Genomic DNA, 23,378 nt, shown 5'->3' on the forward strand with positions numbered 1-23,378 from the left:
GCCAGGACACACTGTTCGGGCGCGGCTTTCCCCGTCCGCGGAGCGGTCTTGACACTCGCGGCGGCAGCATCTACGCTCGCAGAGCCGCCGATGCGTGTCCAGTGACCCGGACAGCAAGGCCCGCGCGCGGCGGGGGCGGCGGCAGACGCCTGGTCACCGTGACCCCGATTTTGGATTTACCGCTTGGGGGCTGGGGGGATCCTGGATTTAACTGGCGACTGTTTTGGGGGACGCCGGACGCCATGTTGTGGAAAATAACCGATAATGTCAAGTACGAAGAGGACTGCGAGGTGAGCTGGGGCTCCGGGGTGCAGCCCCGCCCCGCCGAGGACAGTCCGGGAGGCAGGGGCCACTGGACCGAGGTCGGGGACGAGGGCATAGGAGCCCTGGCCTCTCGGTGGGACGGGATCCACTTCTCCGGACACCCCTTAGTCCATTTCTGCGGGGCCCCTTTCCTGTATAGGGCCTTTTCCTAAATAGCCTCCCCTCGGGAACGAGGCCTGGAAAGAGAATGGCAAATCCCACCCACACAGCTTACCGGGCGCTTTCCTAAGCGGCAAACAGCCCTGCTTCCCGTTTTCTCGGAAAAGTGCCCCGTCTGCAACCCTCAGACGTGGCTTTTACGCACGAAGTCTCTGTCCAAAGGGGTCAGATGAGGCTACCTGCTAGCGACACCTTGGCGGACACTCCTCCAAGGCCGGCTTGTCACCTGCCCCGCTACCTCCTCGGGGAAGCACGAAAACAACCGAAGTTTGGCTTTCAAAAGAAGTGGGGGCTGGGGAGTGGTGGTGGGGGTGCCCGAGGCCAGATGGGGCCGTAAGAGCTCGCGAGTGCTCCAGCCTGTCGGACAGGTTGAGCTAGAGTTTCGGAGAGTGGGAGGGAAGAAGGAGGCGGCGAGCGGGAAGAGGAAGAAGACGCAGGCAGCGCTAGGCGAGCTCAGGGGCGCCGGGAGCGCGGAGCTCGGGCTACGGACTCGCGGGAGTTCACTGCGCCTCCGGGCCCTGGAGGGCTGCCCCTGCCCGCAGGCCCGGGCGCTTCCGCCAGGAGGCGACAGCGCCATGTTCCTCCAGGTTCCCGGCGCCCCGAGACCCCTGGGCAGATGGGGACGCATCCTTTAGAAACTGAGTCGGGCCGCCCAGGGGCGAGGGAACGTGCGCGGGCAAGGCTGCCCAATTTCCAGGGTTCTTCATGCCCCCTCTGCGCCCCGACGTGCGAGAACACTGCCCTTGGCAGTGCAGGGCGCCCCCACTTATTACTCCCCTCGGCTGGGCCCGGCCAGCAGGGAGGGCCGCCCTGTGCGCGCGCTCCCTCTTCACTTCCCAGGGCGGCGCAGGGTGGCGGGCCCTGCTTTCCGAGCGCCGCCCGCTCGGAGGTCTTTGTCCCGAGGGCGTGGAAGGGAGGGTCCCGGGGGCGGGGGAGGTGCGCATTTCCCGCGCCGCGCACTCTATCCGCGCCTGCCGCGCTGCCACCTCCAGCAGTCCCTGCGTCATGGGCGGGCTCCACGAGATAGCTCTGCACCGGGCGTCCGGCTCCTTCGCCCCGGGCTCTGGCTCCTTCGCCCCGGGCTCCGGCCACGGACTTTTCTGGCCCAAGACCCAGGGTTCGGACTTGGCGCCTCCAAGCGCCTCGGGCTTGGGAGCAGCGCCTAGACCTTCGCCGCCGGGCTTTGAGAACTCGTTCCCCCAGGTCTTTCACCAGACTCTCCTCCCTCCCCGCACTCTTTGCTTACAACGAAATCCTCGGGGCGCATTGCCCCCGGGTACCTTCCGACCCTGGGCAAGCCCCGCCGGGCGGGGTGCGGTTGGTCCCCCGGGGCCCTCTGCGTAGCCCGGCGATGCCGGCCAGTTCGCAGTAGCGGGGTTTCGCACTAACGGGGTCTCCTGTTTTTTTTTTTCCCTCCAGGATCGCCACGACGGGAGCAGCAATGGGAATCCGCGGGTCCCCCACCTCTCCTCCGCCGGGCAGCACCTCTACAGCCCCGCGCCACCCCTCTCCCACACTGGAGTCGCCGAATATCAGCCGCCACCCTACTTTCCCCCTCCCTACCAGCAGCTGGCCTACTCCCAGTCGGCCGACCCCTACTCGCATCTGGGGGAAGCGTACGCCGCCGCCATCAACCCCCTGCACCAGCCGGCGCCCACAGGCAGCCAGCAGCAGGCCTGGCCCGGCCGCCAGAGCCAGGAGGGAGCGGGGCTGCCCTCGCACCACGGGCGCCCGGCCGGCCTACTGCCCCACCTCTCCGGGCTGGAGGCGGGCGCGGTGAGCGCCCGCAGGGATGCCTACCGCCGCTCCGACCTGCTGCTGCCCCACGCACACGCCCTGGATGCCGCGGGCCTGGCCGAGAACCTGGGGCTCCACGACATGCCTCACCAGATGGACGAGGTGCAGGTGAGCGGCGCTGCGGCTCCTGACCGGACCTGTTCACCCTACGGCCTTCTGCCCCCACCCCGCACTCCTCTAGGCTCCCCCGAACTTAAGGGAATTTTGTCCTCTCTCCCCCAGAATGTCGACGACCAGCACCTGTTGCTGCACGATCAGACAGTCATTCGCAAAGGTAAATAGCAAGGTGGCATCGTCTAACTCTGGTCACACGATCTGGGCTTGTGAAGTTGACTGGCAAGGTTGGGGGTATTTGGTGGCCAGCGTGGGACATTTGTGGTAGAAGGGACTGAAAGGGATTCATGGAAGCTAGATTTTAGGAGTGACAGAAAGGGATTTCCCTCCGACCTCCTAGGAGCTGTCTCTTCATCTCCGGAGTTGTTACTGCCTAGTTTTTTTTCTTGGAAAAATGTCCATGAATTCCAGTGGGTGTTTCACAATGTGAGAGAAAGTCTTCCAGAGCGAGTGAACACTGATTTAACTTGAAAAACAACAAGAAAAAAGTCACAGGCACACCTTCGTTGAGTGGTTGGTTCTGTAACAATTTTAATTGTTGAATAAGTTGTGATTTTATTTTTGATTTCAAACACGTGTATGGAAAACCTCCTTAATTCTGACCTGCAAGAAAAGTTTTGAAGCAATTTGGCCTACCAAATGAATACCTGTAAAAGGAACAGAGCTTGGAATGATCTGTCAGAGGGAGAGTTTTGCAGGATGGGGAGGAGGGGATTTGGAAAATTGGATTACTTGGTGAGTGAGTGGTTTATGAAATTAAGTTACTTAACTGACAGGATTACCAGGATTACCATTTTGACTGTTTTGGGAAATAGAGTAGGCCTAAATTGAAGGTAGTTTTGGCCTGTTACTTGAACTGCTTAAATGGATTGAGGATGGAGGAAAAATGGATTTTAAAGAAAAACTCAGAAAAGACTACAAATTTTCAGTAAACTTAGAACGTATTAGTTTGGATGATTAAATTTACTGTGATCAACTGCACTGAAAAATTTTGGAAAGAATCTTAATGTGTCCTATGATTTTGGTTGTTCTTGAGGGGAAAAAACTCACCGTTTATTTAGTATTGAAGCAGTCTTCTGAAAACAAATGTTCTAATTAAATAGTTTTCAGCAGCTGCTAGGAAAAAAAAAAAAAGAAACCCTCCAAGCTTTGGATCTTCACTAATTAACTTCCCAAGGTGTTAACTTGTGAATTTCAGATTAGATTTGTCTCTGAAGTAGGGGGCTTTTTTAAAAAGTCAGCCATGGCCAGGTGCAGTGGCTGACACCTCTAATCCCAGCACTTTGGGAGGCCAAGGTGGGCAGATCACTTGAGGTCAGGAGTTTGAGACCAGCCTGGCTAACATGGTGAAACTCCATCTCTACTAAAAATACAAAAAATTAGCTGGATGTAGTGGTGGGCACCTGCTGGAGAATTACTTGAGCCCGCAAGCTGAGGCTGCAGTGAGCAGAGATCACACCACTGCACTCCAGCCTGGGCCACAGAGTGAGACTCTTATTATTTTTTTTTTTTAAATAAAGTCAGCCTGCAGTTGATCGTGGGGTGTGCAATGATGCTTGTCTAAAGATCACTTTCAGCTTTGGTTATTGGTTTTGAAAAGGTCTCTTTTGCTCAGAGAGAGCTCTTGTGACTGCCAGCTCTGACCTTCATTCACAGGTCCCATTTCCATGACCAAGAACCCTCTGAACCTCCCCTGTCAGAAGGAGCTGGTGGGGGCCGTAATGAACCCCACTGAGGTCTTCTGCTCAGTCCCTGGAAGATTGTCGCTCCTCAGCTCTACGTCTAAATACAAAGTGACAGTGGCTGAAGTACAGAGGCGACTGTCCCCACCTGAATGCTTAAATGCCTCGTTACTGGGAGGTGTTCTCAGAAGGTACTTGGGGCACAATTCTAGGCATAGTGGTTGGGTAGTTGAAGGTGAGTGTATCAGAGGCCCAGGAGGTATTTTTAACATTTATGTGACTTTATGCCTAACACTGAATTCTAATCGGGTTAGAGTTTTAGTACATTTCTTCTCCTTTAGAAAGTGCCAAATGTGGGAGGAAGTGCTAAAACGACGCTCACAAATTCTCACTTGGTTAGAATTTGATCCCATGTATGAAGTGATAGCATCTGTATTGAGGGGAGGTGGGGGGAGCACCCTGGGTTTGTTCCCCAGGGAGTTTTTGTGGGGCCGTTGTAGTTTCACAAGTGAAAATTTGTCTGCTCCCATACAATTTGAAATATTCGGTGATGCAGAGTTGGATGCTAGGAAAGATTGATTTTGTATCTTACGGGGACTAATTGAAAGAGGACCCTGCTATCACTTTTCATTATGGTTCACGTGATGTAGATAGTCTTTGATGGGTTTCAGCTTTGACAGCAGCACTTTAGGAGTTTAGAATTTTTAAAGTGTGCGTGTGTATGTGTTTTTGTTTTTGAGAGTAGCCAGAGTCAATTTTTCTTTTTCTTAGAGCCAAATCGAAAAATGGAGGCCGGTCCTTGCGGGAGAAGTTGGACAAGATTGGGTTGAATCTTCCGGCCGGGAGGCGGAAAGCCGCTCATGTGACTCTCCTGACATCCTTAGTAGAAGGTCAGTGGGGTTTTGTTTTTGGTTCGTGATGTTTTTAATTTGTGCCTGTGTCTTTAATACTTATTGCAGAAAAACTGGAAAACAACTCTTAAAACTTGGTTGCAAGTAGAGATGAAAGCAATTGGAATTGTTCTCTAAGTTTATTGGAATGAATCACAGTTAATTTTATCGAATAAGTTAACATTTAAGTATCTGGTTGCTCAGGTAGGCTCTTCTGTATTCCCCCAGAGAATCAATGTTGGAAAGAAACTGGTTTTCCTAACCTAAGAAATCACACTCTAGGGGTGTCGGCATTTCCTGTTAAATGAACCAGTTTTTTTGGAAGATAACAGCTGATCATTTGGTACACCTTGAGTAAAAGCTGGTTACTTACTGGTGAGCAGAAGTACTGCTTCTGTTTTTTGTAGCTGTGGGTTATTTTGTAGCTGGGGATTGTGGTCAGTGAAGAGAACCTCTTGTATACAATACGACTGGCCCGATTCACAATTCTATTCTTCCCTCCCATCCAAAGAAAAAAACTAATCGAACCCCTGGCCCACGCACAAGTTCCTCTTGCCAGTGCTAAGATAGTAGGACATAGCATTTCAGTTTCTTGAATGGGGGGCCCCTTTACCCCAACCTGGACAGTAGCCAAGAATGCAACACAACCTTTAAAAGGAGCTGAAGGGAAAGTAAAATAATTTTTTAAAAACAAAACAAAGCATGTTGTTACTGCTCCCGGGAAGAGTTGGACGCTGAGAGAGGCTTAGGGCTCTCACTATGGGCAGGGGAAGCCAAGGAGAAACGGGCTCCCCGTGGCAGTACCCTCTTTTGAAGACTTTCTTTCCTTGCTCTGATGGCGTGACGTGGTGCTCAAAGAGACTTGGCAGAGTCCCTGCTTTACCTTTTACGAGTGCCTTTGGAGGTCAGGGCAAGGAGAAAGGAGCTGCCTGTCTGAGAACAGCTGTCCTGCCTGTAGAATCGGCGGTTCTGCTGGGGTTTCTTGCTAGCCAGGCAGGGTGATTGAATAAGAAAGTGTGCTCCAGAACAATGGCTCTCCAAGGCTGCTTCAGTCAACCCAGGGGGCCCCTCCACCATCTGGGTTTTTGCAAAGCTCACCAGTCCTGCACCCTGGAGCCAGGGAAGGTACCTCTTGGGTGGGAGAAACTCTCTTGGTTGCCTCCCTTAGCTCTTCCACTGACTTGGACAGGGAAAAGGGTGCTCCAAGTTGGTTTTTAGGAGAAACATCCCTCCCATCTTTTTTAAAAGAAACATTCTAGAGATCTGCCCCTTCAGTAAAAAGGCACTATTAAAAAAAAAGTAAGCTGTCAGATGTCACCATTTTATAGAGAAGTGACTAGTTTGCTTTTGTCAAACATGTTTATAGCCCTTAAATTTTCCTACTTCCCCAAAATGATACTACTTAATATAAAGAGAAAACATGGGTATGTTTGATTATCTGTTGAGCAGAGGACTGGTAAACATTTTTCAAGTTTACTCATCTCAGTATCCATGGGGCACTGGTTCCAGGTCCCATACCAAAACCTGAGGATGTTCAAAATGTTATATTTGTATATAACCTACACACATCCTTCCGTATAGTTTAAATCATCTCTGCATCACTTACTTATAATACCTAATACTATGTAAATGCTATGTAAATAGTTGTTACATTGTATTGCTCAGGGAATAATGGCAAAAGTCTGTGTGTGTTCAGTACAGACACAACCATTCATTATTTCCCCCCCGAATCTTTTCAATCTGAGTTTGGATGAATACAGATTCTGAACCCACGGATACAGAGGGCTGACTTGATTGTGCAGTTAGAAGTTTCAGGGTCTTTTCTGCTCACATTGTGTGATCTCCACCCTCTATTCCTGGGGTGGAGGACCTACTGAGAATCCCTAGAAAGTTCTACCTACCAGCTGAGTTGTCTGCCCTGTATATGATTTCGTTCTTGCATGCAACGTATGACTGGTAGACAATGAATACTACTAGAAAGAGAGAAAATGGGGGCTGGGTGCTGTGGCTCATGTCTATAATCCCTGGCATGAGCCATTGGTTGAGACCAGGAGCTCAAGACCAGCTGGCCAATGTGGCAAAACCCTGTATCTACTAAAAATACAAAAATTAGCTGGGTATGGTGGTGCATGTCTGTAATCCCAGCTATTCAGGGGCTGAGGCACGAGAATTGCTTGAATTCCGGAGGTGGAGGTTGCAGTGAGCAGAGATCGGGCCACTGCACTCCAGCCTGGGCAACAGAGCGAGACTCCGTGTCAAAAAAAAAAAAAAAGAGAGAGGAAAAGGGCAGTTTGGCCTCAGTGACCACAGCCATCCTAAAAGCTGTTGCTGATTATTCTAGGTGAAGCTGTTCATTTGGCTAGGGACTTTGCCTATGTCTGTGAAGCCGAATTTCCTAGTAAACCAGTGGCAGAATATTTAACCAGACCTCATCTTGGAGGACGAAATGAGATGGCAGCTAGGAAGAACATGCTATTGGCGGCCCAGTAAGTATCTGAACTTGAATTTGATGATGACTCAATGCTCTAGACCTTGAGGTTGAGAAGATTCCCCCTCCACAGTCCCGATGGCTCAACAAAGAAATATTCTTGAAATAAATTAGGGTGGAGCAAAAGAAAATGGCAAGGGAGCTTCTTTTACAAAGTCAAATACATTAACTTTTTGTATGATTTAGAAGAGTGCATGACTCAGCCATGAGTATTTTTGAGCTGCTTAGTTATTCAACCCAAAGTAGTTGAGCTGCCCTTTCATTATTGTGTTAGCATATCTTACAAAAATGTGTTGAAAACCCGATTTGTTTTGTCACAACCAGTAAAGAGAGATTGTGTGCCTTCTACCTCCTGATAGCAAGACTTTTGTCTTTCAAATGTAAAGATCAGGGTGGATTTGTGGGCAAATTAACTGTCTCCAAAACGACTTAATGCAGCTGTGGGTTTTCTCATAGAAACCAACAGTAAGTTGATTTGAAAATGATGGTAAATGAAGCAGAACTAGTCGAGCCAGGAAATGGGGTAAAAGAGAGCGCAGTGAACCAGGCTGTGTCAGGAGTCAGAATTTCAGGGGGATGCTTCCTTCTCCCGGTTCCTCACGGAATTTGTTTATTGGAACCAACTTGTACCAAGGTAAACTGTCCCTTAAGCTCATGGGTTGGAATCCAGGCCCCATTACTTTTACCAGTCCTGGTGACCTTGGCCAGTTAGCTGGGGTTAAGTTAATCCTGTTGTCTTTTCTAATTGCAGTGAGGATTAAATAAGATAGTGCTTTAAAACAGCTTAACTCAGAGCCTGGCGCAGAATAGTTGCTAAGCGCAGCAGTTGGCTATTAGTATTAAATTCTCCTTCCTCGGGTTGAAGCAGTTGTGCTTGCCTCCCGGGCGCCAGCCTCAGTGTAGTTGGTTCTGTGCTCTTGACCTGTAAGGAGCTAGATGGAACTCATCGAGTCAACTGACTGTCTTCACAGGCAACTGTGTAAAGAATTCACAGAACTTCTCAGCCAAGACCGGACACCCCATGGGACCAGCAGGCTCGCCCCAGTCTTGGAGACGAACATACAGAACTGCTTGTCTCATTTCAGCCTGATTACCCACGGGTTTGGCAGCCAGGCCATCTGTGCCGCGGTGTCTGCCCTGCAGAACTACATCAAAGAAGCCCTGATTGTCATAGACAAATCCTACATGAACCCTGGAGACCAGAGTCCAGCTGATTCTAACAAAACCCTGGAGAAAATGGAGAAACACAGGAAATAAAATTGGAACGAAGAAAGGTTAGGAGAGTAGGGAAGGAACAGGACTGCAAAAATCCTTCTCCACCGCACAGACTGGGAACCCCTCCTGGCCTGGGGGAAGAGTTTGTTACCTACCTTACTATTTAAAGAGCCTTCACTGGTTCTGCATCACCCGCCCCTGGACTTCTTAGTTGTTTCTCTAGCGCTGAGCTATCTCCTAACTTTGGACCTATTATCAGAAGGTGACAAGTACTGGCTCTTTATTCATTAAGCTTTTTTTTTTTGAACCCCATTCTTTCCTTCTCTGAAAGTGGTGCTATAAGTTTTAGAATCTTTTAAATACATTCCCTGGGCCAACAGACCCACACACTTAGCCATTGAAATGTCAAATTGATGTGCCCTAGATCAACAGATCAACAATACCTTTTTTTTCAGTGTTAAGGTAATGGTTGGTTTTTGTGTCCGCTAAATATTTACCTTGAAAAAAAGAAAAGTGTGTATCTAGCTTCTTCAGAGATCAAGTCCTCTGGTAGGAGGCAAAGGTTCTATCTGCTTAGCAACTAGTTAATAAGTGGTATCTGACACACTCTAAACCCCGTGTTCAAACGGGGGCCTTCTGGTTTTAGGAAACTTGTAGAAACGAAGCCTGCTGATTGATTTTTTTCTCCTTTTTTTTTTTTTTTTTTTTTAACTTTGAAAGTTAACTCTTCAAATGGGAGACTCTTTGAAATGACATGTTCCTTTAAGGTACTGAAGCTTTATTTGCATATTTATTTCAGATGTTTCGAGTAAACTTGAAAAGGGTAGGCACGAAGCAATTTGTTGCTGCTTGTCACCCCCAAGTCCCCGTGGAGGTTCTGTATTTTAAGAAACAGTGCGTTGAGTGTACAGATTTTATTTATGCGTAATTTAATGGGGTCTGTAAATACTGGTGCACTTCTTACGACTTTTTTGAGACATGGGATCCAATTTTAATATTAACTTTTAATGGTGATGGGGTAATCTATAACACATCATAAGGTTTTATTCATATATATACAGGGTATTAAGAATTAAGAGGATGCTGGGCTCTGTTCTTGGCTTGGAAGATTCTATTTAATTGAAACTCTCTGTTCAGAAAGCAATAACTTTGTCTCGTTCCTGTTGGGCTGAACCCTAAGGTGAGTGTGCAGTACAGTGTGTGTGGGTGAAATGGAGATTTGGAATTGAACTCTCTGCCTGTAAATGTTCCCCAAATAATTGTTGTGTGTATGATACGTGTATAATAAAAGTATTCTTGTTAGAATCTGAAAGTCTGGCTATAGGTTTTTGTTTTTGCTTTTGTTTTAAAGTCTTTTGGGTGAATGGAATTAGGGCAGAGCTGATTTATGGCTTGACTGTGGCTTGGTTAATGCCCTGAGCAGGCAAGTTTTGTGTGCTGTTGGGGAGGAACCTGAAGTTTCACCTTTTCTCCCTAGCGACACTGTTCAGCTACCCCAGGCCTTATGCTGTCATCAGTGTCTCTCAACTGCAGAGGGATAGAATCATCCTCCCCACCCTGGAGGTGTTGGGAAATGTCTGAGGGACAGTTTATTGACATTAAGAGGGGCCAATGTTTTGGGAACAATGTCTCATGGAAGGTTACTGTATTGAGGACAGGTACACTGGCATACTGTACTCAGCATACTGTATAGTGGTCAAGAATGGAAGTGAAATGATTATGGGTGTTCTTTGGGCAGATGTTTCTCTCTTTTTTTTTTTTTTCTTTTTTTAAGATGAAGTCTCGCTCTTGGCCCCAGGCTGGAGTGCAATGGTGTAATCTCGGCTCACTGCAACCTCCACCTCCCGGGTTCAAGCGATTCTCCTGCCTCAGCCTCCTGAGTAGCTGGGATTACAGGTGCGTACCACCACACCTGGCTAATTTTTGTATTTTAAGTAGAGACAGGGTTTCACCATGTTGGCCAGGCTGGTCTCGAACTCCTGACCTCAGGTGATCTGCTCGACTTGGCCTCCCAAAGTGCTGGGATTACAGGCGTGAGCCACCGCGCCAGGCTGGGCAGGTGTTTCTTAGGAGGACTTGGCATTCAGTCGAATGCAAGCAGTGGACGTGCAGCATGCCAGTGTTTTCCATTCATCTAAGTTCTCTTTGGAAATGAGATCGTGCTCATCCACCCAAGACATCCTCTTCATTTCATCTGCCTGCAGGGGAAACCAGAGATTGAGTCTTTGTGCTACTCCAGGAGCAGAGGAGTCTGGCAGGGGTTATGTACTTGCTGGATGTTTGTGATGCACACGGCAGGTACTTGATCTCGAGTTGAAGCAGCCTGGCATCTCCTCCAGGAAGTGATGTGTTTAGAGTTTGCCATGTGTGGCCTGGCTTCAAAGGGAACTGGGAGCCGTAGGATTTTCCCCATTGGATAAGACCATTGCTTCAATGCCAGTTTTATAATCTTTAATTCATAATTCTCTACCAAATGCCCAACGATTCCTGACTTAATGTTGGCGTTGGATGTTATTAAGTAACTTAAACTCTGCCAACCCAGTGCTTTGCTCTTGGCATCTTGTCCTTGGCCACCAAGCATTCCCATTAAGTTGGATTTATCTGGTTGATATGACAAGATCACAATTGCTTTGCTTTGGAGTGGTGAAAAGAGATCTTAGGTTGGCAGTTATCTCTCAATCAAGGCTTGAAATGTTGAGTGTTAAGAGGAAGTTATGGGGGCAAAGGGCTGAAAGAAAAAGGGCTATTCTGTTATCAGCATCTTAACTTGCTTTTGGACCAGAGTCTGGCTTTTAGGAGCTGTGCTGAATTGCAACGCAGTCAGTGTTCTGGAAACGCCCCAAAGTCAACCAAGGATTGAAGGGAATCACAAGCAGTGCTTCTTTTTTATTTTTTTTTTGAGATGGAGTCTCACTCTGTTGCCCAGGCTGGAGTACAGTGGCTCGATCTCGGCTCACTGCAAGCTCCGCCTCCCGGGTTCATGCCATTCTCCTGCCTCAGCCTCTTGAGTAGCTGGGACTGCAGGCACCCGCCACCACACCCGGCTAATTTTTTTTGTATTTTTAGTGGAGACAGGGTTTCACCCTGTTAGCCAGGATGGTCTTGATCTCCTGACCTCATGATCCACCTGCCTCAGCCTCCCAAAGTGCTGGGATTACAGGCGTGAGCCACCACGCCCGCCCAAGCAGTGCTTCTTACTTGCCGGGTTCTTTCTCCACATCCCCACTGGAAGTCTGGGGACTGCCACTGAGCTCTTGAGTCTGATGCACGATAATGAGTTTTTCTTCCCAACACCTGAGCTGATGCTGTAGCCAAAAACCAGGTCCCCTCAAGAGGATCCTACTGAAACATTAGCTCCCTTGCAGATTTTTTTTTTTTTTTTTTTTTGAGATGGAGTCTCGCTCTGTTGCCCAGGCTGGAGTGCAATGGCATGATCTCAGCTCACTACAAGCTCCGCCTCCTCGGTTCACACCATTCTCCTGCCTCAGCCTCCCGACTAGCTGGGACTACAGTCGCCCGCCACCACGCCCAGCTGATTTTTTTGTATTTTTTAGTAGAGGCGGGGTTTCACCATGTTAGCCAGGATGGTCTCGACCTCCTGACCTCGTGATCCACCTGCCTCGGCCTCCCAAAGTACTGGGATTCCGGGCGTGAGCCACCGCGCCCAGCCCTCCCTTGCAGATTTTTCTGGAAACTCTTGCTTACTTGTGAAATAAGGGTGCAGTGCCCTTTGGCATTAGGTTGGTGGACCCTCGCTTCTCGTGGCCCAGAGTGGGTTTTGTTTCAAGCCCCATGTTAGTGGGAATCACCCTCCCTTTTCCCCTTGCCCTGTGCTGTTGTGGCACACTGGCTGTGGAGGCACATGATATCACTGATGTCTTGGCCCTCTGACAGAAGAAATAAAGATACGCTTCCTTTTTTTCCCTGGTTGCACTGAAAGAAACCCCATCAGTTGTCTGAAGGGTATATACTGCCTAGAATTCCACTTATGTGAGAGAGACTGTCGGCGGGATTGCCCATCTGTTGACTGGGTACTTTGGCCATCTGGGTACCTGGCACTTGGAAGGTGCCCCGGGCCCTGCAGATAGGGGCACCTATAGATTTCCTGAAAGGGCAGAGAGAGTGTTTTCAATAGCAGTTCTTGGTTGTCTTACCTTCCATGTGTGCACAATTTAAGTTGTGGGTTAGAAAAGGGATGACTGGTCTGTTTCTCATTGAAATGATTCCATGCAGTGGCCATCATTCTTTTCTTTTTGGGGGTCTAGTATCAGTAAGCTCTGAGACCAAAGGTTCTTATATTTGAATGTTAATAAACAAAACAAGGTAGGGTCATGGGTGGGTGAGAAACAAAGAGAAACTTCTCTGATGACTTGGCAGTGGTTGGGTTTCTGGAGCCCATCGAGATTCCCTGGGGAAACGTTGGCTGCTGTGCATTATTAAGGAGGTTGCTGTTACTTCCGAGGACTTCTGAACGTTTTCCAGTCTTTTCCTTTTGCAAGTTGGTAGGGGGTATCATGGGGTGGCGGTTTAATTTGCCTTCCTTAGCAAGTAGGTGAAGAACCTGGAAGCAGCTGCTGTTGCCACAAAGGGGAAGAACAGCCCTGAGATTCTTTTGCTTGTGTTTGACAGGTGATGGAGTGAAGTCGGGATCCTTAGCAAAGTCCTCCCTGGCCAGCTAAGCTCAGTGGGCAGTACGAGTTTTCCCCTTGTTTAGAGACAAAGGGTTTGCTTTTGGCATTTTGATGTTGCAATGCTTGGATACGCTCTTCCCAGGAGTAGATCTTGCTCTTGGATGATAGTGGTAATTTTTTTTTTTTTTTTTCCTGAGATGGAGTTTCACCCTTATTGCCCAGGCTAGAGTGCAATGGCACAATCTCGGCTCACTGCAGCCTCTGCCTCCTGGGTTCAAGCGATTCTCCTGCCTCAGTCTCCCAAGTAGCTGGGATTACAGGCGTGCATCACCATGCCCAGCTAATTTTTGTATTTTTAGTAGAGACAGGGTTTCACCATGTTCGTCAGGCTGGTCTTGAACTCCTGACCTCAGGTGATCTGCCTTTCTTGGCCTCCCAAAGTGTTGGGATTACAGACGTGAGCCACTGCATCCAGCTGATAATGGTAATTGTTGACTTAACTTTTTCAGATCTCAGTATACCATGGGTTTCTCTTCCATATTAGTAGTCCTCATTTGCTTTTCTGAAATCTACAGGTCACCACCCTGGGAGTCTTGATGATGCTTGGAGCCATCAAAACCTCACCCCTCCCAGGTTTGCCAATACAGACTGCTGTCATGCACAAGGTCCATATTGATACAAGGCAGATCATACCTTGAAGGTCTCTGTCTGCTAGTAACATGATCTTCTGCAGAAACAAACTTGACCTTAGGCTTTACAAAAAGTAACTCTTACGTTAGAGCCCATAGTTGCATGGAACGCTCAATTATTTTTGGCACAGGCATAAACGCTGTAATTTCCTGACTTCTTTTGGATAACATCTAGATGGGGGAAATGGGTAGAAGAAAAGCACGGAAACCAAATAGAATTGAAAGGCATAATTCCAGGGTCCTGTCCAAGGAATGTTTACGAGGTCAAGTCCGTGTGTGTGTGTGTGTGTGTGTGTGTGTTTCAAGACACATGTGGTGTTACTGTGGCTTCTCAACGTTTTCCAGGAAGATCTCGGCCTTCAGGAGTGACACTCCCTACGAGAATGTGAACGTGGGTGAGTTGAAGAGGACACCTTGGCATCTGGCCTTTGCTGAGGCTGGAAAGCATTTGGGACTTCACAGTTGTTGTGGGTTGAATGCTGCCCCCAAAAGATTTGTTCAAGTCCTAAATTCCCAGTACCTCAGAATGTGACCTTAATTGGAAATAGGGTTGGTGCAGGTAATTTGAGCCAAGGTCCTACTGGAGTAGAGTAGGCCTTAATCCAGTAAGACATGTTCATATAAGAAGAGAATAAGCCTGGGTGCGGTGGCTTATGCCTGTAATTCCAGCAATTTAGGAGGCCGAGGTGGGCGTATCACCTGAGGTCAGGAGTTCAAGACCAACCCGGCTAACATGGTGAAACCACGTCTCTACTCAAAATACAAAAATTAGCTGGGCGTGATGGTGAGTGCCTAATCTTAGCTACTTGGGAGGCTGAGGTGGGAGAATCACTTGAACCCAGGAGGTGGAGGTTGCAGTGAGCTGAGATCGTGCCATTGCACTCCAGCCTGGGTGACAGAGTGAGACTCTATCAGAAGATGCTGGGCGTGGTGGCTCACGCCTTTAATGCCAGCACTTTGGGAGGCTGAGGTGGGTGGATCACCTGAGGTCAGGAGTTCTTTCAGACAGCCTGACCAGCATGGAGAAACCCTGTCTCTACTAAAAATACAAAATTAGCCGGGCGTGGTGGTGCACGCCTGTAATCCCAGCTACTTGGGAGGCTGAGGCAGGAGAATCACTTGAACCCGGGAGGCGGAGGTTGTGCGAAGATTGTGCCATTGCACTCCAGCCTGGGCAACAAGAGTGAAATTCCAACTCAAAAAATAATAATAATAAATAAGCCGGGTGCGGTGGCTCACGCCTGTAATCCCAGCACTTTGGGAGGCTGAGGCAGGCGGATCATGAGGTCAGGAGATCAAGATCATCTTGGCTAACTCAGTGAATCCCTGTCTCTACTAAAAATACAAAAAAATTAGCCGGGAGTGGTGGCGGGTGCCTGTAGTCCCAGCTACTTGGGAGGCTGAGGCAGGAGAATGGCGTGACCCCGGGAGGCGGAGCTTGCAGTGAACCGAGATTGCACCACTGCACTCCAGCCTGGGCAACAGAGCGAGACTCCATCTCAAAAAAAAAAAAAAAAAAAAAGACGACACAGATGGGATAATGCTATGTGACAGGGGAAGTGGAGAGTAGGGGGATGTGGCTAAAAACCACGGAACATTAAGGATTGCCAGCTACCACCAGAAGCTGGAAGAAGCAAGGAAGGATTCTCCCCTCCAGATTTCAGAAGGAGCACGGCCCTGCTGAGATTTGGATTTTGGATTTCTAGTCTCTAGAGCTGTGAGACAATAAATCCATATCTGCTTTTTTAATGAGACAGGGTCTTGCTGTGTCACCCCGGCTGGAGTACAGAAGTATAATCCTAGCTCAATGTAGCCTCGACCTCCCAGGCTCAAGGGATCCTCCCACTTCAGCCTCCCAAGTAGCTGGGACCACAAGTGTGCACCACCATGCCTGGCTAATTTTAAAATTTTGTGTACAGACAGCATTTCTCCCTATTGCTCAAGCTGGTTTTGAACTCCTGGGCTCAAGTGATCCACCTGCCTCTGCCTCCCGAAGTGCTGGGATTACAGGCATGAGCCACCGCGCCCGGTCTGCTTGTTTCTTTTAACTGGGTTCTTCAAGGTATCCCCTCCAAACAGTGACTAAACCTATCAGGTCACCAGAAGTGTGTGGAAGGATTAATATTGATGCCCTTGTGTGGCCTTTGACTTACTGAATCAGGAACTCTGGGTTTAGGATCCAGGAATCTGTATTTTATTAAAAACAGACTTGGTGATCTTGACCATGAGCTGAGTTTAGGGACCACTGCCTTCCATCTTCTAGTTCAAAAATGTTATTGAGTCACATCCATTCTGGAGAGGGGTGTAACTTGCTCTGTGTCCCCAGCATCCTCTCCAGGGGATGTCCTCCTGCTCTTGGGCTCCTACTGCACCCAGAGGGCACCAAGCAGTTGGGACACTGTGGTTCAAGGCCAGCCTGGAAAGATAGGGAGACTGTCTCTACAAAAAGATAAAAATGAAAAAAATTAGGGTTGGTGGTGCTTGCCTGTAGCCCTAGCCACTTAGGAGGCTGAGGTGAAAGGATCCCTTGAGCCCAGGAGGTTGAGGCTGCAGTAAGCTGTGATGGTGCCACTGCACTCCAGCCTGGGTAACAGAGCGAGACCCTATCCCAAAAACAAACAGTCTGGGCCGGGCGCGGTGGCTGACGCCTGTAATCCCAGCACTTTGGAAGGCCGAGGCGGGCGGATCACGAGGTCAGGAGATCGAGACCGTTCTGGCTAACACAGTGAAACCCCGTCTCTACTAAAAAAAAAAAAAATTACAAAAATTAGCCGGGTGTTGTGGCGGGCGCCTGTAGTCCCAGCTACTCAGGAGGCTGAGGCAGGAGAATGGCCTGAACCCGGGAGGCGGAACTTGCAGTGAGCCGAGATCGCGCCACCGCACTCCAGCCTGGGCGACAGAGCGAGACTCCATCTCAAAACAAACAAACAGAAAAAAGCAACAAAACAAAACAAACAGTCTGGCTTCTTCAGTAGACCCTGAGGTCATGAGGGCCAGAGCTATGTCTGTCTTGTGCTTTAGGGTCTCTCCACGCACTAGCTCAATGCCCAGTAAGCACCCACATTGAATCATACGGCTGAGCCTGGGCTATGGGGTGGGGTCTATGGGCAGTTCCTTTTCCAGAGCCTCTTCAGGGCTCAGGGCCATGTGTGGATTGGGGCCGGCCCACCAGAAAGAATTTCACCTCGGCCTCCCCAGGTGCTGGGATTACAGGCCTTAACTCCTGCACCCTGCCCCTTCATGTATTTTTAGGCTGCTATCCTGCTTCCTTCAAACCTCCCATCTTTTCCAAACTTAGGATCTCCAGGTCTCTCAGTGAGTCCCTCTGTGCCTTGGTTTCTAGAATCTGTTCTTAACAAATGGTTAGAGAAAATAAAAATAAATGTTCCAGGTGAGAACACACACACAAACTTGAGCCAAAGCCGGAAGATGAGAGGGCATGCAGTGCAGATACTTAAGGAGGGAATCCCAGAGAGGGAGGAGCATGTGCAAAGGCCCTGAGGTGGGGGTGTGCTGGGATTTTCATGGGAGAGCAGAAAGGACCCTGTGGCTGGAGTGGGGAGGGTGGGGTGAACAGCAGATGTAGGGAGGACGCAGACTCTGGATCTTACCCCCGGGGACATGGGGAAGCCAGTGGGGTTTGGGCCACAGAAACTTCCGAATCTTGTGTTTTGAAGGGAGCACTCAGCCACTGGCTGCTGAATAGACTGGGTTGTGTGTGTGTAATTCCAGCTCCGTCCATTTCTCTCGAGCACTGAGCACAACTTTCTCTGTACTTCTTCACTTTGGAGGGGCAAGGAGGGGTGAAGTCTTGCTGGTTGTGTTTCCATTTATTCAACAAATGTTTATTGAATACCTCCTGGAGGCTGGGCTGTGTTCTAAGCATGGGGGCATAGGTGTGAACTGGGTAGAGTCTGGCCCTGCTGGCAGGGAGCTTGGTCTAGTGGTGGAGCCAGACGATAAAGAGCATTTTATTTTATTTATTGAGACGGGGTCTCGCTCTGTTGCCCAGGCTGGAGTGCAATGGCGTGATCTTAGCTCACTGCAACCTCTGCCTCCCGGGTTCAAGTGATTCTCCTGCCTCAGCCTCCCGAGTAGCTGGGATTAAAGGCGCCTGCTACCATGCCTGGCTAATATTTTGTATTTTTGGTAGAGACGGGGTTTCACCATATTGGCCAGGATGGGTCTCGAACTCTTTACCTCAGGTGATCCACCCGCCTTGGCCTCCCAAAGTGCTGGGATTACAGGCGTGAGCCACTGTGCCTGGTCCCCAAAGAGCATTTTAGATAGCAATAGTGCTTGGAAGAAAATAAAACAGGTAGTGACCAGGGCAGCTCATTTCAGACAGGTGCAGTCATTGCAGCTTCGTGGAAGAGGTGACATCTGAGCTGAGCCTTGACTGATGCAAAGGTCTGCCTGAACCTACTGTGTGTGTGCTTTTTAGCCAAATTCCTATTGACCTATGAAGATTATACATCTAAACCTCAGGGGTTACCTCAGCCCTCCTGTTGGAACAGCTACAGTTTCACCTCCCCTGTCCAAGGCATGCTGGCACCCAGGAAGGCAAGAAGGAATTGAGGCTGTGTGACACCTGGACCTAACACCTTTGAGGCTGTTATGAGACCACATTACAAGATCCCTTATGTTAAACCCTGCCTAGGTCAGTGACATGGAACCGATGTTGGTTTAGGTTTCTTGAGACAGGGTCTTGCTCTGTCACTGAGACTGGAGTGCCACGGTGCAATCTTGGCTCACTGCAGCCTCGACCTCCTGGGCACAAGTGATCCTCCTGCCTCATCCTCCTGAGTAGCTGGGACTGCAGGCATGCACCGTTACATCTGGGCTAATTTTGCTTATTTTTTATAGATGAGTTTCACTACGTTGCCCAGGCTGGTCTTCACCTCCTGGGCTCAAGTCATCCTCCCGCCTTGACCTCCCAAAGAGTTGAGATTACAGGCATGAGGCACCACACCGGACTCCATTAGGTTTTTAAAGCTTTTTGTAGAAAGTGATGCTGAAAGAAAGAAGTGGGTATTCCATGTCCTGGTACCTCTGGCTGCCAGAGGGAAGGAATGAGAGCTATTTCTTGCCATCTTCCTGTGCTGTCTTTGGTAGTTCTCTCCCAGGGACATGTCTTTCCCTCAGTGTTTGATGCGATGGGATGCCTGTGGCCACTGTGACGCGGGGATCAGCTGCTAGAGTAGGTCCTGCTGCACATCAGGACTCACACTACTTGTGGCTCATGGTCCCCAAGGAACCTGCTTCCTTAGGGAAGATGAGGATTTGATATGACAATAATGATAATCATTATCATCATCATACCATAATAGCTTCCATCAACAGAGAATTTACTGTGTGTCAAGAGTTTTATTTTTTGAAAAAAAAAAATTGTAGGTATTACTGGCTGGACATGGTGGCTCACACCTGTAATCCCAGCACTTTGGGAGGCTGAGGTGGAGTTCAGGCCTCCTCACTTGAGCCTAGGAGTTCAAGACCAGCCTGGGCAACATAACAAGACCCCATCTCTATAAAAAATTAAAAAATTAAAAAATTAGCTTGGCATGGTGGCGCCTGCCTGTAGTCCCAGCTACTTTGGAGGCTGAGGTGGGAGGATGGCTTGAGCCCGGGAGTTGAGGCTGTAGTGAGTTATGATCGTGCCGCTGCATTCCAGCTTGTGTGACAGAGATTGACCCTGTCTCTAAAATAAATAAAAATTAAAAATTGTAGGTATTATGTTCTTAGGGCTCCAAATTCACAAGGAGCCACTGAAAAGTCTTCCACTGCCCCAGCGTCCCAGCTGCATTCTCCCGAGGCAACTGTTTCTGGTTCCTTGTGTCTCCTCTCAGAGACATTTTATGAAAATGTAACAACATATGTATTTTTCTTTTTTTTTTTTCCACAAATGGTAGCATATGGTATATATTTTACACTATGCTTTTTTTTTTTGGAGGGGACAGGGTCTCTCACTCTGTCGCCCAGGCTGGCATGCGGTGGTACAATCTCTGCTCACTGCAACCTCCGCCTCCCAGGCTCAAATGATCCTCCGACCTCAGCCTCCCGAGAAGCTGGGACTACAGGCAGATGCCACCACGCCCAGCTAACTATTTTATGTTTTGTAGAGATGGGGTTTCTCCATGTTGCCCAGGCTGCTCTTGAACTCCTGAGCTCACGGCCTCCCAAAGTGCTGGGATTAAAGGCATGAGCCACCGCCCGCCTGGCCTACACTGTGCTTTTTTACTTAATGTATTTTTAAAAGTCATTTTAGGAGGTTTAAAAAAGTCAGTGATGGCCAGGCGCGGTGGCTCCCGCCTGTAATTCTAGCACGTTGGTGGGTGGAGGCGGGCACATTGCCTGAGCTCAGGAGTTTGAGACCAGCCCGGGCAACGAGGAGAAACCCTGTCTCTACTAAAATACAAAAAGTTAGCCGGGTGTGGTGGCAGGTACCTGTAGTCCCAGCTACTTGGGAGGCTGAGGCAGGAGAATCGCTTGAACCTGGGAGGTGGAGGTTGCAGTGAGCCAAAATCGCGCCACTGCCCTCCAGCCTGAGCGCAAGAGCGAGACTCTGTCTCAAAAAAGCCCCCAAAAACCTAGTAATAATAGGTTTTATTTACTGAAGGTTTACTATCTGCTAGGCATTGTGCCACTTTAAATCATGAGGTATGTTGTAAACATGATCTATAGTGACATATATTGTATATGTAGTGATATGTACTGTATATGTCATATAGTGTCATGTGACATACTGTATATACATACACTGATAGATGTTATTTATGTGATGTCCATTGTAAACATGACATATAGTACTTTTGTTTACCGGGTGCTTACTAACTGCTGTACCCTCCGTGGGCATTCTTCCATCCAGTTGGCCCATTGTCAATTCCTTGCTCATCCATCCACTCTTCCTACACAAGACCCATCTCTAAGAAAAATATTTTCAAAAATTAGCCGGGCTGGGTGCAGTTGCTCACACCTGTAATCACAGCACTTTTGGAGGCTGAGGTGGGTGGATCACTTGAGCCAGGAGTTCAAGACCAGCCCAAGCAACATGGCAAAACCCCGTCTCTACCAAAAATACAAAAATTAGCTGGGCATGGTGGTGAGCACCTGTAATCCCAGCTACTCAGGGGGCTGAGGCAGGAGGATTGCTTGAACCTGGGAGGCAAAGGTTGCAGTGAGCCGAGATTGTGCCACTGGACTCCAGCCTGAGTGACAGAGAAAGGAAAAGCTTTAAAAACCTAACGGATATGGGTACGGTCTTAAAAAAAAAAAAGAAAAAAAATTAGCCGGATGTGATGGGGCATGACTACTACAGCCCCAGCTACTCAGGAGGCTGAGGTGGGAGGATCGCTTGAGCCCAAGAGTTGGAGGCTGCAGTGAGTTATGATCACCACACTGTACTCCAGCCTGGGCAACAGAGCAAGACTATCTCTAAAAATAAAAATTAAAAATAAAGAAAAAAGAGGCCTGGTGTGGTGATGCCTGTAATCGCAGCACTTTGAGAGGCCGAGGTGGGTGGATCACCTGAGGTCAAGGGTTCGAGACCAGCCTGGGCTGGGCTGGGCTGGGCTGGTCTGGCATGGTGGCTCATGCCTGTGATCCCAGCACTTTGGGAGGCCGAGGTGGGCGGATCATGAGGTCAGGAATTTGAGACCAGCCTGACCAACATGGTGAAACCCCGTCTCTACTAAAAATACAAAAACTAGCTGAGTGTGGTGACACGCTCCTGTAATCCCAGCTACTCAGGAGGCTGAGGTAGAAGAGTCGCTTGAACCCGGGAGGCGGAGGTTGAAGTGAGCCGACATTGTGCCACTGTACTCCAGCCTGGGTGACAGAGCAGGACTCTGTCTCAAAAACAAAAACAAAACAAAACAAAAAACCCAACAAATTAGTTGGGCATGGTGGTGCACACCTGTATAATCTTAGCTACTTAAGAAGCTGAGACAGGAGAATCACTTGAACTGGGAGGTGGAGGTTGCGCAGTGAGCTGAGATCGTGCCACTATACTCCTGGGTGACAACAGCAAGACTCTGTCTCAAAAAAAGAAAGAAAAGAAAAAGACAATGGTAAAAAAAAAAAAAAAAAAAAAGAATAAATACACAATTTAGTGTTTTTGTCTTGTTTTGTTTTGAGACAGAGTCTTACTGTAGCACGCAGGCTGGCATTTCATGATGTGATCACAGCTCACTGCAGCCTTGACCTCTTGGGTTCAAGTAATCTTCCTGCCTCAGCCTCCTGAGCACCTGGGGCTACAGGCGTGCACCGTTACACCCACTAATTGTTTGATTTTTTTGTATCAGGGTATCTCCCTGTATTGCCCAGGTTGGTTTCAAACTCTTGAGCTCAAGGAATCCTCCTGCCCCTGCCTCCCGAAGTGCTGGGATTACAGGTGTGAGCAATCACGGCCAGCCACAATTTAGTGTTTTATGAAACCATCACCATAGTCAACATAATGGGCACACCCGTTGCCCCGAAATATAGTTCCCTTGTGTTCTTTTATCATCCTTCCTTCTACCCCTCCTCACAACTCTGCCCCCAGCCAACTACTGACCTGCTTCCTGCCACTTTGGATTCATTTGCGTTCGTAGAATTGTACATAAATAGAAGCATACAGAAAAAGAGATAATGCATTATTTTTATTTTGTCGGCTGCTTTCACTCAGCACAATGCAGTTGAGATCTCCATGCTGTTGCTTGTATCTGAAGTTTGTTCTTTTTATTGGCAAGCACTACTCCGTTGTACAGCTATGCAGCTATGCCACAATTTGTTTATCTAATCCCCAGTTGATAGACATTTGGGTTGTCTCCAGTTCTCCAGTTGTTGTCTTTTACAAATACAGCTGCTGAGAATTCCTGTGTGCATCTCTGTGTAGATGTGCTTTCTTCTTCTTCTTCTTTTTTTTTTTTTTTGAGATGGAGTCTCGCTCTGTCGCCCAGGCTGGAGTGCAATGTTGCAATCTTGGCTCACTGCACGCTCCACCTCCCGGGTTCACGCCATTCTCCTGCCTCAGCCTCCCGAGTAGCTGGGACTACAGGTGCCCGCCACCATGCCCTGCTAATTTTTTGCATTTTTTTTTCAGTAGAGACGGGGTTTCACCATGTTAGCCAGGATGGTCTCGATCTCCCGACCTCGTGATCCACCCGCCTCGGCCTCCCAAAGTGCTGGGATTACAGTCGTGAGCCACCGCACCTGGCCTTTTTTTTTTCTTTTTTGAGACAGAGTCTTGTTCTGTCGCCCAGGCTGGAGTGCAATGGCGGGATCGTGGCTCACTGCAACCTCCGCCTCAGCAATTTTCCTGCCTCAGCCTCCTGAGTAGCTGGGATTACAGGCATGCACCACCACACCTGGCTAATTTCTGTATTTTTAGTAGAGACAGGGTTTCACCATGT

General features: G+C 48.8%; 1 protein-coding gene across 1 annotated transcript, besides 2 other annotated features; it reads left to right on the forward strand.

Annotated features, from left to right (window-relative positions):
• Positions 4-9,981, forward strand: TFAP2C (transcription factor AP-2 gamma). Its single transcript, NM_003222.4, has 7 exons — positions 4-290; positions 1,903-2,388; positions 2,503-2,554; positions 4,051-4,267; positions 4,848-4,966; positions 7,308-7,452; positions 8,426-9,981. The coding sequence occupies exons 1-7, from the start codon at positions 243-245 to the stop codon at positions 8,709-8,711; spliced, it is 1,353 nt and encodes a 450-aa protein (NP_003213.1). The 5' UTR covers positions 4-242; the 3' UTR covers positions 8,712-9,981.
• Positions 31-325: a silencer, noted in NCBI's record as "tiled region #3831; HepG2 Repressive DNase matched - State 20:ReprD, and K562 Repressive non-DNase unmatched - State 4:PromP". NCBI's record gives its function as "represses a minimal TATA promoter and a strong SV40 promoter by Sharpr-MPRA in HepG2 and K562 cells {active_cell/tissue: HepG2 | K562}" and the evidence as "EXISTENCE:reporter gene assay evidence [ECO:0000049][PMID:27701403]".
• Positions 7,496-8,256: an enhancer, noted in NCBI's record as "OCT4-NANOG-H3K4me1 hESC enhancer chr20:55211854-55212614 (GRCh37/hg19 assembly coordinates)". NCBI's record gives its function as "activates a minimal SCP1, AML or CMV promoter by ChIP-STARR-seq in naive H9 embryonic stem cells {active_cell/tissue: H9 hESC(naive)}" and the evidence as "EXISTENCE:reporter gene assay evidence [ECO:0000049][PMID:30033119]".
• Positions 9,982-23,378: the final 13,397 nt, after the last annotated feature.

The sequence above is a fragment of the Homo sapiens genome, chromosome 20 (assembly GCF_000001405.40).
Source record: "Homo sapiens chromosome 20, GRCh38.p14 Primary Assembly".
Taxonomy (NCBI): Eukaryota; Metazoa; Chordata; class Mammalia; order Primates; family Hominidae; genus Homo; species Homo sapiens.